Source organism: Homo sapiens, chromosome 16 (genome assembly GCF_000001405.40).
Source record: "Homo sapiens chromosome 16, GRCh38.p14 Primary Assembly".
Taxonomy (NCBI): domain Eukaryota; kingdom Metazoa; phylum Chordata; class Mammalia; order Primates; family Hominidae; genus Homo; species Homo sapiens.
Genome location: NC_000016.10, coordinates 75,930,524 through 75,946,286, shown reverse-complemented (window position 1 = coordinate 75,946,286; position 15,763 = coordinate 75,930,524).

Sequence of the window (15,763 nt, the reverse complement as noted above, 5' to 3'; positions counted from 1 at the left end):
CTGACCTCCCTGCCTGATTAGGCTGCAGTGGGAACAACTGCAGGTGCAGTCACCCCTGACAAAGAAGGCAGACTTGTATTAAATGTTCTACCTTAAATAAATGCCCAGGAAAAATGAGTAGCTACCTCCAAACCAAGCTGTAATACTGTGGGAAAGCTCAGAAGCCATGGACTTTCATCTCAGATAAGCCGATGGCCCTGTGGCCTGGAGTAAGTTCTGAAATTCTCAGTCCTTGTTACTTATCTGCATAATGAACATTCTCCGGTAGAAGAATTATAAGCTTCCTTCTGGCCAGAACATCCTATAATTTTAGTTATTAGAATGTAATGGCCATCCTCCGATGAAATAAAATATGCTCGGAATTCAAAGGCACAACGAAGGGATCACAACCTAATAGGGAAACTGGTTATGTTTTCTAGGTAGTATCTTGAAGTCCAGTCCACACCTGCATCTCAAGAACAAAGAGAATGGCTGAAGAGGAAAGCCCTATTGCAGCCTCTCATCCATTCTATAGATAAAAGGAAAACCTGAGGGCGGCAGACAGTTGATGTCCCTTCCCAAACAGCCTCAGGAATGAATATTTAACTCACCTTGCCCATCATTTGTTGAACTCCCTATGCAATAATGTGCTGGCTGGTACAACCACAATGAGAAATTAGGCAACAGTCTTAATATTAAGATTAATCTAATTAAGATACGAGGGAAACATTTTAAAAAGACTACTTGTAATACAATACTCTAAGGATGATCATTAATAACTGCTGGCACAAGTAGTGTAGGGATCAAATGTACATTATTTTGACACAATGTCTGCATTTCCAAGGAAATAGTATCTGTGTACTAAACCCATGCAGTGAGAGAAGATAAAATTAACTGCCTCTGAATAGCTGACATTGAAACAGGACTGAGCTTTTGTGCTAAATAAAGACTTCTATTTGTCCACTCTTTATACATAAGGTAAAAATCATGATGGAATGTAAAGGGAAATAAAAGTTAATGATTTTGGAACAAAGCTGCATGATGCAAGTGCTCCATTGGGAATAAACAGACCAGGAGCAAGTTGGAGGGTTCTGTGAGATGAAGGTCAGTTTCCAGTCCATTCTGCAGAATCAATACAGTTCCTTGGACTTGCAATAGGTCTCATAAGTCATAGATTGACTGGGCCATGTATCAACTTCCACAATGCATAGCTCTCAATGCCTCTCATTGGCAAGCATTGCTGAGCAAAAATCTGTGATTAGAATTTGCAGCTGGAGTGGAATGCAGCCCACATATAGACTGGCAGGGAAACTAGAGTGGACAACCAACAGCAAGTAAAGTACCATCACTTTCAGAAGACCGTATGTCAATTCCGCAATTGATTTCCAAAGACAAAACTGAAATTGCCATCAGCGGGCTTCTCTGAACATCCATTTCATAGATGAGGTTTGTCTCAATGAAACTGACATTATGCACAACTCCACAGGTCCAGAGAAGCATATTAATGTCCAGCCTTCTTTTTGATAATGTTTTCTCATGAAAAAATATTTGAAGAAATAAGGTAAGAAACAAAGAAAAGGAACAATAAGTGCCAGGAAATATCATTTATTCCCCATAGTTTGACTGAGTCAGGCACTCTTCCAGGTGCTAATAGTAAGTTAAAAAGGAACTGAACAATGAGATCACATGGACACAGGAAGGGGAATATCACACTCTGGGGACTGTGGTGGGGTGGGGGGAGGGGGGAGGGATAGCATTGGGAGATATACCTAATGCTAGATGACGAGTTAGTGGGTGCAGCGCAGCAGCATGGCACATGTATACATATGTAACTAACCTGCACAATGTGCACATGTACCCTAAAACTTAAAGTATAATAAAAAAAAAAAGAAAGAAAGTAAAAAATCCCTGCTTTTTTACGTAGAGCTCAGGAGATGGAAAGCAAACAAATAAATCAGCACGTCATAGATGATACGTGAGAAGGTGACAAGCACAAGAAAGAAAACAAAGCAGGGAGGACAAAGGTCATATTTAAGGGAGTGGAGCTTTATCAGTTTTCATTGCTCTGAAAGTGCTCACTGCCCCGGCAAAATAAATTGCTTCGCCCCAATTTTTGTTTGCAGTTTGACCTCTTTGGGCTAGCAATCAAAATCCATGCAAAGTAGGTATGCTTGGGAAACAATACCCAATCCCCTGTCTCCATTTAGCAATTGATCTGATGGGCCAGAAAAAAAAAAACAACAAAAAAAAACAACTCTGAACTCTGATTGTAATCATAGATAACATTGACATCACACTTTCTAGGATCCAGCCATCATCCTAAGTGCTTACATATGTTAACTAATTTAATCTTCATGTCTCTTCAATTAGGTATGTTTAGTTTCATCCTTAATTTTCAGATGAGAAGGCCAGGACAATCAAGTTCAATCTGTGAAGAGTAGAGTTGAGATTTGAATCTAGATGGTCTGGCTTCCAGAGACTGTGCTCTTAGCTGTCAGTGTACAACTTTTACCAATGCTCTGGTCACCTAAGTGATGCTGATCTCCAGCCTTGTCCCTGCATCTCATATTCTACCTGACATCTCCATTTGGACAGCTAATGGGCAACATGAGACTAATGCATTCAAAACAAAAACTTTGATCTTTAATACATCCCTCCCCACCCCACCCCCGATTACTTTTCCTCCTCTGCACACCTGCTCCTTGCCCAGGCTTCCAGAAGTGTCTTAATTACGAGGACACCATTCACATAGCTGCTCAAGCTCAAAGCTTAAGGCTTGACTTTTCTGTTTCTCTCACATTCATCATCTGATTTGTTTAAAAATCCTCCAAAATATTCTTCAAATCCAACACCCTCTGATCAAATTCAGGCCACTGCCAGGTCACACCTACGAGACAGGAGCAGTCTTCTAGCTGGTTTTCCCACTTCCTTCTTTTCACCAAGAGTCTGTTATCCCTGCTAGCAATCTGTGTGATAATTTAAAAATGTTAATCAGATCATATTATGCCCTGCTCTGATCACTCTGATAGCTTTTATATTAGTCAGGATTCTTCAGAGACACAGAACCAATCAGATGTATATATGCAGAAAGAGATTTATTTTAAGGAATTGGCTCACACAATTGTGGGGGCAGGCAAGTCCAAAATCCACAAGACAGGCTAGCAGCCTGGAAATTCTGCCAAGAGATTTTGTAGTCTTGAGTTTGAAGGCTGGAAACTCAGGCAGAATTTCGATGATGCAGTCTGGAGGCAGAATTCCTTCCTCTTTGAGAGACCTCTGTCTTTTCTCTTATGGCCTTCAAATGATTGGATAAGGCTCACCAACATTATGGAAGGTAATCTTCTTTACTCAAAGTCTGCTGATTTAAATGTAAAAAAATACCTGCACAGCAACATCTAGACTGCTGTTTGACCAAGCAACTGGGCACCAAGCCTAGCAAAGTTGACACACAAAATTAATCATCACAGCTTCTTATAACATTGAGTATAAACTCCATTTCCTCTGGGCATCATTCTATCCTTCATTCTATAGAGAAAGGTCCTTTCTCACCTTCTCCAATCTCTGGGTCACCTGGCCTTCTTGTTGTTCTGGGTACATGACATGCTCCTTTCTATCTGCAAAAAAGGTCTTTTTCTGCTGTTTCTTTTACCTGTAATACTCTTCCTCCAGACCTCCACATGGCTCCCTCTCTTGCTTAATTTGGATCTCTGCTTTCTTGTCACCTCCTCAAAGAGGCCACACCTGACAAGCTTATCACAAACAGGCCAGGCCCCTTGCTTGCTTGCTAGACCCGCTCTCAATCTGCCATCATAGTACTTACCAGTGCCTGGAAGCACATCATTTGTTTGCTATCTCCCCGTCGCCACTAGAAAATTAGCTCCAGTTTTGTTTGTTGTCCAGAAAAATCATTTCTGCTGTATTGTAGGTGTTCAATGAATGGAGCTGAATGAATGAATGAATATTTTTTTAATCATACTGTAGAAAGGAACTGTGGAAATATTAAGAAATCTTAGAATCTCTTTTTAAATACTCACAATAATAAATGAATTTATAAGTGATACTTCTTATTTGACACAACTTATACTCCATGCAACATTTTTTAAATATTTTTTCTTGTTTTTTTCTGTCTATGGCTCTTGCTAATTTTTTGTGTGTGATTTTTTAAAATGTTCTCCTCCTGGAACATTAAACCTGGATCAACCCACTGAATAAAAACATGCTGCACTGAATAACCACCTTTTTAAAAAACAGTAACCTCCCCTCCACCACAGAACTTTGATCTCCAGGCTAACTATATTATAGCTCAGTCCATACCACACTCACCTCTTTCTTCATCCAGGTATTGTGAATTGTCGTAGCTCATTACATAGTGAAAAGACAGCATTCAAACTGGGACCAGTATTTAGACAGAAGGATGAAAAAATTAGTGGAGCCAATAATAAAACTTATTCATAGAGTGACTGATAGCTAATGTTCATTGTTTTCCAGGAAATTGCTCATCACTCATTTTAACGAGCGATCCGAGAGGATTTTGAATGTTCTTAATTCCAGTTTGCAAATTAGGTAACCAAGAAAAAAAATTATTCTCTCAAATTCTGCACTAAGTCAAAGAAATATCTTCTGGAATTTGAGGGAAATTAATGCAAATTTATTGTTCCACTCCTCTGTGTTTGGCAGAAAAGGCCATCACTTGGCATTTTATATGCTGTATGTTACTTTTTCCCTGCAATAAACAGAGATCCAGAGAGTTCAGTATCCACTTGTGGTTACAAGAATAGTCCTTTGCAGAGGTAAAATTGAAACACAGAGTGTTCTGACAAGAAGGCTGTGTCCTTCTCAGTCGCCTGGCTGCCCTGGTGTAGAATCCCGAAGATTCCAGGAACTCAACACAACGTCATAGGTGGATGCTGGATACATGGCTTAAAACTACAACCTCTTGTTCTCAGAAACATTTCCAGAAGGGTTTTCACTACCAGTCTATACTGCAAGAATCTCTAGTATCCAGCGAGGCCCTCAGATTCTACCTCTGTAAGCTGTGTGATGAGTGAGACAGTGTAGCCTCTGAGGAACCCAGGAGTCCCATTTCTCTGGCACCAGGGCTGTGGCCACAGGACAAAGTCTGTCTCCCCAGTGGGCTGTGGCCACAGGACAGTCTTTCTCCCCAGTGGCGAAGACTTGGGGGCTCAGCATTCAAAATCATTCAAATGTTTTGTGAATACTGATCTTTCATCTTTCCTCCAGGAATTAAAAAAAAAATCATATCTACATAAATGCAGCAGGCATTTTATTCATTAAGTGGGTGTTTAGTACGTCAATACCTCTGTGAGCCTTACTTTCCTGAGTTGCCCAACAAGACTGGGATTCTATAAAGTCCATTCCAGCCCTAAGGGTCTGTGAGCTACAATTAATCAAAACCTTTTCTTTCTCCTCTCAAATTTCCCTTCGCTTTATTTATTTTTTTCTCAATTAAATATAATAATACTCTATTGGAAACAAACTTTTTCCCCACATTTAAGAAACACTTAAAACCATCTTGTCTTTCCCTTTGTGTCTCCTCCTCATGCATCCCAGCAGTCTCCACTTTAGATGCAGCTGTTTTGTGCTGAGTTTTATTTCCTTCAGGTTTCCTCTTTCTTTGAACAGCAGGTGCCAGAATAACAAGGCGGTATGAAATTTACAGAAACCATGTGCTTATACAGTCCACCACCTTATCTAAAATATAATGCTCTTCAACCCTATATCAGATGTCTTGCCATACACTGCAAGGTGCAAAGAATATTGTGCAAGGCTAGTCCTTATTATTTTTTGCACCAAAGTATGGGGCTCCAAAATTACTTGAGTAAAGTACAAAAATTTCTGTGAATCCATTTGCTATATCTTTAATGAAAATGAAAACACTCAAATGAAAACACTCAAACTGAAATTGTTTCCTATTTACACAATAGGGTGTTTAATAAGGTCTCAATTAAAAACTAGTCATGGCATTAAGAATCTTTCTATTTAAACATATTAAAAGACTTGCATCATATTGGAATTCCTCATAGAGCTGGGCTATAAAATGTAATTATTCTTTGAACAAATAAATGCCATTTCAAGATTACCACCTTTCCTTGTGAAATTTGCTTTTTGTTTTTGCGAGAGCGCTCTTGCAGATAGATTTGTTCTATTTTAATTAAAGTTGAGCAGAAAAGGTTTTTGTTTCAAACCATATATCTGAAGCTATAAAAACTTCCTGCTTGATTCTACCAAAAGATGTATGTGATCCTGGATTTGGGGTATTAGCCGTTGCTTGTTACCCACACAGGGTCAGTGGTAGAAAAGCTGATAAAGCAGTTGTACTTTTCTGTTTTCCTGTATCTGACATTTCTGGATCTCTAGTCTCCTGTAACGCCATTACCCCACCAAAATGGAATTGGGTTTGTATGTCTGAGTAAAGGCAAAATAGAAATAGTCATTTCCTGGGTTCAAATTCAACCAATGCTCCTACAGTGTAGATACATTTGTTTTCAAACTTATTCCTGCATCACAGGTTTCTTATTAGCCATGAAAACTTTCAAAAAAGTACGTTCTCTGCTTGGATTTAGCTTTGGGCAGGACCCACAGCAAACAGGGGGAAACAGATGGCCTAATAATGCATCAAATTCAATACATTTACTGTCACCAATTCCTCACTAGGCATCCTGGTGAGCAACAGAGATAGAGTTGGAAAAGACACATTTCTTATCCTCATTGAGTTCATTATAATTTTAGGAGACCAGAAATCCCTCTCTGATCCAAAATATTCTCCCAAATGGCCTACCATGGGGTCTAAGATTCCCATAGTCCCCATTCTTTAGGAATGAGGCATTGAAGGCTGTTGTGAGAACACCAGCAGACAAGCTCGCTAACATTTGCAGGACCCGGGAGGGTTGACCCTCAACAATCTCAGGATTTTCTAACCCACTTATCCTCAACCCTGCTGACAATTAGAACCACCTGAAGTGATTTGTATTAATTTGATAGGCTTGACATGTGTTAGGGTCAAGGTACGGTTCCAGCCCATGCTGAGGTCCAAGGGGAGTGGGTGGATGAAATGGCAGATACCACTCAGGGGGCCGTAGGTAGGTGAAACACAGCTTTATTCAGCAGCTCTGTCATCAGCAGCTCTCTTACACTGTCTGCTCTGTCTCGACTGCTTGCTCCAGCTGCTCCCATGCACGCCTGCGCAGCCGGCTCTCCCTTGCCTTCAGGGTCATCGGCTTAACTCTTTTTCTCTCTGGGCACAAGCATGCCTGTACAGTGCCAGCAGGGCAATTATGCCTTTTACAGACAATAGTGGCATAGAGCCAAGTGATGGCATTCCCATGTCATGGCTACATAGCTGTGTTTACATTATACATGAAATTGTGCGCCTACATTCCAATCCCCCTGCATCACACAGGATGTATACATCCTACCTCGGCCTATCCTTGACCAAAGCACATCCATTACCTTACAATAGGGAGCCCAGAAATCTGTGTTTTTCAGCCAGATTTGGAACGAAAATCTCAAGTTTGTTCTCTCACTTTCTCTTATTTCCCTTCCTCCTCTTCTCCCCTTCTCTCCTCCTCCTCCTCTTCCTCCTGTTCCTCTTTCTCTCACTCTACCCCTTCTTGCTTCTGTTCTACCTCCTCCTCCTCTCTCTCCCTTCTTCTAATACATAAATAACAGGAATAAAATATGGTAAAAAGAAGGGTTCTCCTAAATTATCTTATAGGTGAAGATTCTAAATGTGATGGTCAGAAATATTTTGCATCTGCACACTTTAACATCCTTTTATGCCTATCTTAGTTACCAGGAATATTCAGATCACATGTGTAAAATGCTAAAGAAAAACCTGGTAATTGATTATATGCAGATACCAGGCATAAGCTTTGATTGTTTTAGTGTGGGCACTTTATCATAGACAGAAACAAGGGTATCTTGGAGTGCTTAAGTGGTTCTACACCCAGGAAATTTGAGGTGTTTGTAATACTACATTTACATTGTAACAAGCAGTTGTGGCCCTTTAAATACCTTCTCTGTTATTTCAGACACACTTAGCTTATATATGTGTACAGTACCTTAATAAACCAGTAATGCCAAATTGAACACAAAGATTAATGATCACAGTCAATTAGTACATGATGTATCTATCAGAAAAGCCATGGTGAGGGTAAGAATGATACAATGGACTTTGGGAACTCTAGAGGAAGGGAGGGAAGAGGGTGAGGGATAAAAGACTACATATAGGGTATGGTTCACATTGCTTGAAAGACAACTACACCAACATCTCAGAAATCACCACTGAAGAACTTATCTATATAACCAAAACCCACCTGTTCCCCAAAACTATTGAAATAAAATAAAAGCAAAAAAAACAAGCCATGAGTGTATGGCATATTGAACATAGGAAATTCATATGTCCTACAACTACATTTGGATACTATCAAATTAACTATCACAAGGATGTATTTTGAAAGGGATGATTTTTTGAGTATGTTTTAAGAAGAAAAATAGGAAATACTTATCTTGGGGAATGGTTGCTGGATATTAATTATGAAAGAATAATGATCACAAAGCAGATAAAGGAATAATGTGCTAGATGAAAAACATCTTTTTTATTTTTTTGAAAAATATCTTTTAATAAAATAGGAAAAATTATAAGGTTAAGTTAGATGTATGAAAACAAGATTTTATTTGTAGTCCTGCATGTTTGCAAATATGTTGCATACTAACCTTTGTTAATAGAACCAATAATAACTAGAGAAAAATATATACACTAGCACTATGTTTCTATTAGGAGCATATTTTGGGATGTAAAAATGAAGCTATACAATTTTTGACATTTCTGTCCCCCATTAAGAGAATCGGGAATTTTTTTTTCTTAGGGAGCAGTGGCTCCTGTTGTTTCCCTTTGAGCTCTTTCTTCATACTTAGCAGAGGCCTCAGAAATTAATGTCACTTTTATTCCTAATATTATAATTCTACTCTGGGGTATTTTCTCATTTCATATTTATGTCACACAAGAGCTAGATTCTAATTTTTTTTTTTTTTTTTTGGAAACAGAGTCTCGCCCCGTTGCCCAGGCTGGAGTGCAGTGACGCGATTTCAGCTCACTGCAACCTCCGCCTCCCAGGTTCAAGCAATTCTCCTGCCTCAGCCTCCTGAGCAGTTGGGATCACAGGCGTTGAGCCACCATGCCTGGCTAATTTTTGTATTTTTAGTAGAGATGGGGGTTTCACAATGTTGGTCGGGCTGGTCTCGAACTCCTGACCTCATGATCCTCCCATCTCAGCCTCCCAAAGTTCTGGGTTTACAGGTGTGAGCCATCATGCCCAGCCTCCAATTTATTCTTTAGTTGAAGTCTGTGTTAGTTCATTCTCACACTGCTATAAAGAACTACCTGAGAATGGGTAATTTATAAAGAAAAGAAGTTTAATTGGTTCATGGTTCTACAGGTTGTACAGGCTTCTGCTTCTGAGGAGGCCTCAGGAACTTACCATCATGAGAACACCGTGGGGAAAGTCTGTCCCCATGATCCAATCACCTCCCACCAGGTCCCTCCCCCAACATTGGGAATTACAAGTCAACATGAAATTTGGGTGGAGGAACAGAGCCAAACCATATCAAAGTCCTTCTCTCCCAAAGTCTATGTAAATGGCTGTAAGCAGAAAATCAGCAGCTTTTTTTTTTTTTTTTTTTTTTTTTGAGACGAGAGTTTCACGTTTCACTCTTGTCGCCTAGACTGGAGTGCAATGGTGCGATCTCGGCTCACTGCAACCTCCGTCTCCTGGGTACAAGCGATTCTCCTGCCTTAGCCTCCCAAGTTGCTGGGATTACAGGAACCTGCCACCATGCCAGCTAATTTTTTTGTATTTTTAGTAGAGATATACTAGCAGAGAGTAGGGCTTCACCATGTTGGCCAGGCTGGTCTCAAACTCCTGACCTCAGGTGATCCACCCGCCTCAGCCTCTCAAAGTGCTGGGATTACAGGCGTGAGCCACCGCGCCTGGCCAAATGAGCAGCTTTTTAAGTCATTCATGTGGCTTCTGAGAAATGGGGCTGCTGTAATTGATAACTTGGCCCCTAAATACCGAATCCACTCAGAACAAGGCAGAGAGATGAGTGAAGCATGGGGACCTCACAGCTTTCTTGAAGTATAACTGAAATACAAAAAACTGCTCATATTTAATATATACAATTAGATGCCGAGAGACTTTAAATGTCACCGTGTCGTGGGCTGTGTCCTCCCAAATTCTTGTGTTGAAGTTCTAACTCCCAGTACCTCAGAACGTCTCTCTACTTGGAGACAGAGTCTTCAAAGAGATATTTAAGTTAAAATGAGGTCATTAGGGTGGGCTTTGATCCAGTTTGACTGATGAAAAGGAAATTGGGACACAGAGGAAAGGCCATGTGGCCAGGCAGGGAAAAGACAGCCATCCACAAGCCAAGGAAAGAGGCCTCGGAGGACTTGCTGCCTCAGAACCACGAGAAGATACATTTCTGTTGGTGAAACTACCCAGTCTGTGGTACCTCGTTAGGGGAGCCCTAGCAAACTAACACATACAGGTATATCCAGAAACAGAGTTCACCACCTTCCCACACACAGGGGAGACGTTGCCTTGTATATGTGATACCTCAGACCAGAGAAAGTTTCCACTGGCTGCTGGACTCTTAAATTGATGTGACAATATTGACAGTATCTTTAGCCTGACTTCTAGAAGAGTAATCAGTGAACCAGCCTCTTGATAAAGAAATAACGTCCAAATAAAATGATGTGTATTTTCACAGAAGCCCTCCATTGCTCGTGAAAACAGTTCTTATCACTTTTCTAACAGAGGAATATTATAAAGACAAAGTGGGAAAATACTTCACTGTGTGAAGTAGCTTTGGTTCAGCTGCAAACCTAGACTCTCACCTCAGTACTAAATCGGAACTGGCTGTGAAGGATTACAAATAAAATGCTGGTGTTGCTGAAGCATCTTATCTACAACAAAAGACAAGAACTGGTATTTCTTAGTATTATTGTGTTCCAGCAAGTGGTTTATGTAGTTGGGCTCCTGAACGCCTTCCTGTGCCTTGTTAAATTTATCACTTTTCTAGCTTCTACAAGAGAAAAAACACTTAAAGAAGATAAGCTCTGGGCAGTACAATGACAAACTCCTGTACATACATACTTTCATCTTTTTTTTCTGAACCCATTGACTTTGCTCCAAAGATTAAAAAACTATTACCATTATCCTCCCTCTTGTCTACATCATCTCTTATTTGGATTGATTCCATTTATATATTTGTTTCAAAGTTTGATTTATTTGGAACTTACATCAAACGTTTAATGAAATACAGACATCATTTTTTCTTGATTTCTTGTTACAAAGTAATTGGCTTAACATACAGGAGTTGCATACATAATTGTACTTTCATCTATATCTCAATCTTTGGCTCCATTCTTGGTTTTATGCCTGTATCTATCCATTGAGGAACCAAAAACAATGCAAAATATAATGCAATACCAGAACTACGAAGAAAAACAAAGTACATGTTTACAGGTGAAAGTGTCCCACAGAACTGTTAAGAGTTGGTAAAAATTCTGCCTCTGAACCTCCTAGAAAGCACAGTATTAAAGAAAACACATTTCTTTGCAAAGAGAAAAGTTTAAGTAAAGAAAGAAAAACTATATGATCTTGAGCAAACTAAGTAACCACCCTATGCCTCAGTTTTCTTATATGTCAAATGGAAATGAGAGAAGTAATTTTTTCTTTTCTTTTCTTTTCTTTTCTTTTTTTTTTTTTTTTTTGAGACAGAGTCCTGTTCTGTCGCCCAGGCTGGAGTGCAGAGTGGTGCGATCTCGGCTCAAGCAAGCTCCGCCTCCCAGGTTCACGCCATTCTCCTGCCTCAGCCTCCCGAGTAGCTGGGACTACAGGCGCCCGCCACCACGCCTGGCTAATTTTTTTTTTTTTTTTTTTTTTTAGTAGATACGGGGTTTCACCGTGTTAGCCAGGATGGTCTCGATCTCCTGACCTCGTGATCTGCCCACCTCCGCCTCTCAAAGTGCTGGGATTACAGGCGTGAGCCACCGCGCCCGGCCGAGAAGTAAATTTTTCATGGCATGTTACAAGTATTAAATTAAACATACCAGTATTAGTAAAGCATTTAGAACAGTGGCTGGCACAAAGTAAGCACTATTTAAGTGTTTTTTAACTAAAAAATAAAATAAATGCTAAGGGAATTTCTCAAGGAATGCAGTTTTACCCAGCACCTAATTTTAAAAGATAGTTCTCATCGGGAGCTTCACCTTATCTATAGGACAGTGAGAGGTAAGGCAAAATGTTCTCTGATGACTTCTCTATTGCAAACACATTTATGGGATTCATGAAATGTTTTCTTGACTTATCCCTCAGTAAGCACTGAGAACAGAACGCTGAACTCAGGGAAAGCAATTTTGCAGCAGGCCAAGATAATATGTTCCGAACCTGCAATGTTCTGGTGATCAGGCTTTAGGTCTAGATTATAAAGAAATGAATGGGCTCATTTCATTCAAATAACACTTTATAAATATCAGTTTTCTTATCTGGGCATTTTATAAGTTGTGCAGTGGAAGCACAGAGTTATAGTCTCGGCTAGGGCTGAAGATACTGCATTCCACTGATAAAGCCAGGGATGCAGTGTAGCATTTGCTGGTCAATAGCAGACATACTTGTTTTCATATCCTGGCTATGCCACTGGATGGCTGTGTGACCTTGGGCAAATTATTCCACTCTTTATCTCCTTGGTTCTCTGAGTATCTCCAATCTCATAATAGTGCCTTGAAAATGAAGGAGACGATGTACGTGTAGCATTAACAAACTGAGTGATGACAAGTGGGGACTCAGCCTTTTGCTAGTTTTCTGTGTTAGGCTCCTCAGTTGCAAGTGGGAGTGGTAATGATACCTTTCTCATAAGATTATTTCAAGAATTCAATGCAAGCACAAAACACAGTGATTAACACATGTTAAGTGTCTAAGGAAGGTTACCTGTTACCATGCTTTTTTCAATCTTCTCTTAAATGCTGCACATAATACATTTTAATTGAATTCACACTTGACAAAAATGGCATATTTGGGGAGCAGGGTTTTAGAAAAGATTTTTCAACTATGTTTTCATAAACGAAATGCAAGTTATTCATATAAACTTTTATGATTATAAAAACAGTACTTGGGCATTTTACAAGCTTAGAAAATACATGCAAGCAAAAATACAAAATAAAAAATTACATTCTCATGACAGAGATTACCACAAAAAAGCTCTTAGAGCATATTTACCTACGTTTTTCCTATAATATATGCAAGCAATATTTTTAGTAGTACAAGATCATACTGTGCAAACATTTATAATATGCTTTTTCAGTTGACTATCTTGGTCTTTACAGATCAATAAATTTTTATCTCATACCTAAACACAATGAAATGTTCTCAAATGTCCTAATTATGTTTCTTATAGCTAGTTTGTCCAAATCAATATCCAGTATAGAACCAGTACAGGTGCTTGTGCTTCAATAATTTTTTTTGATCAGTTCTATCTCAGTCTAATTTATGTACAGAAAAAGTTAAATATCTTAAGTGTACAGTTTAATGAGTTTTGACACTTGTATAAACCTATGAAACCAACATGCAAATAAAGGTAGAGAAAATTTCATCCCTCCACAGTTTCCACATGCCCCATTTCAGTCCATTGAACCCCCAGAGGCAACTGTTCTTCTGACTTCTATCACCATAAATTAGTGTTGACTATTCCTGAACCTCATATAAATTGAGTGATTCAGTGTTTACTCCTATGATTCTACCTTCTCTCACTAAACATAATGTTTTTGAAATACTTCCATGTTGTTGTATGTATTAGTATTCCACTCCTTTTTATTGTTAAGTAGAAATACACCGTGTTGGTATACCAAGGTTTGTTTACCCATTCTTTTATTGAGGTGGGTTTAATAATGATCCCCTAATTCTTTGATACTCTTCCATTGGGAAGTGAGGTTTATGTCTCCAACCTCATACTTAGGTTCTGTGGCTGCTTGACAATAGAAACTAGCAGCTTCTACTTCCTGTCTCCTGGGACACTTGCTCCTGGAACACTGCCATCATATTGTAAGGAAGCCCAAGCAGCACTGTGGAGAGGCCCACATAAAGAGGTCTGGGTGGAAAAGAAATGTAGCCTCTAGAAGCACTCAATTATTTTTTAAAAATTAATTTTTTAAGTTAGATTATTTCAATTTTGTTTTACATTTACACGTCCCTCATAAAATCCACCATCTCTTAACTCATCCAACCCATCTTTTTATTTAAATTCTTTAACATATTTATAACAGTTGTTTTCAAGTCTTTGTCAGCAAATTTCATTATGTGAGTCATTAGTAGTTCTGTCTTTATTGAATTATCTTCTATTTTATAGGTCAATATATCTACCTCTTTACATATCTTATAAATATCCCAGTCATAGTGTTTTAAAGAACAGTTGAGAATGAAATAATACCTTTTTCTTTCTTTCTTCTCTTTTTTCTCACAGTGTACAAGAACTTTCTTCAATCAGACAGTCAATGTGAAGTCTGTTCTTTTACATTCTACTTACTTTGAATTGGATTAAGGCTGGACTGCAGCTGCAGTTACTTGGAACTTATGCCTGATTTCCAATGTGATTTAGGAGATCTCAGTTTGTACTAAACCTTAACCCCAACCCCCAATTTTCTTCACTACTATTGCTACAACTGAGGGGCAAATAAAGCCCTATGATCTTCCCAGGATATGAACCTGAAAGACTTTGATTGGTAGCTTAGTTTGTTACAATTCACTTATAGATTCAACTTTGGCAGGGCCCTGAGATCTGAGCACCATGAAATGGCCAAAATTTATTCTACCTTCTAGCCCTGCCTCCATAACTATTTCTACTACTTTCTCAGGAAAAAATGCCCAGGAATTGGGATGTGTTGATCTGAAAAACTATGTTTGCATTTGAGCAATTACAGATTCCATTTTCTTTTGCTGACTCACACTGCTGTCAAAGCCTGGCTGGTTTCTCCTCATCCCTTCCTCTTCCATCCATTACAAGTTTACTTCCCCACATAACCACAGTCAGGTTGGACATTTGCCCATATGTGTGGAAGCATCTGTGGCTCTTTGCTCATCCCTTTCTGGAATTTAGCTCGTTAAGGTTTCTTTGCATCCACTGCTCTTTCATAGCATTATAGAAAAGTAGGTTTTTTTCCCCTTGTTGCTACATTCAGAAATAGTGGTCCTTTGCATCATTCACATCCTAACCAGAAACAGAACTCCAAAACAATTTTCCAATTTTAAACTTTGGCTGGGGTCAATTGTGTGATTTATAATGTTTGCATTAAAGAAATCCCTTAAATATTAAGCAGAGAGTAGAAGGGTATTGGATATGCAATTGGAATTTCTGAAGCACCAATCTACCACTTACTAATTTTGTGATTCTCTGCATGTTTTTCAAAAGGGAGAAAGTGATTGACAGTGATATATGAAGAGACCCAGGCAAAGAACACAAATCACTTTAAAGTAAAAGATAAAGGACTTAGCCACATGGTGGTGGCTATACTAGGCTAGACACTCCACAGCACTCTTCCCTCTGGAGGAGCAGCTTCCATGGCCTTCAGCACCTAGGACTGTGATTCTCCACCAAGGACATGGCCTGTCTGAGGAGAGGATATTCTTAGTCAGGTTCTTTAGGGCAGTCAACGCGGGTCCAAGGCCATTCTGCCCCTATGAACTTTATTTTCCTATGACTGTACAGA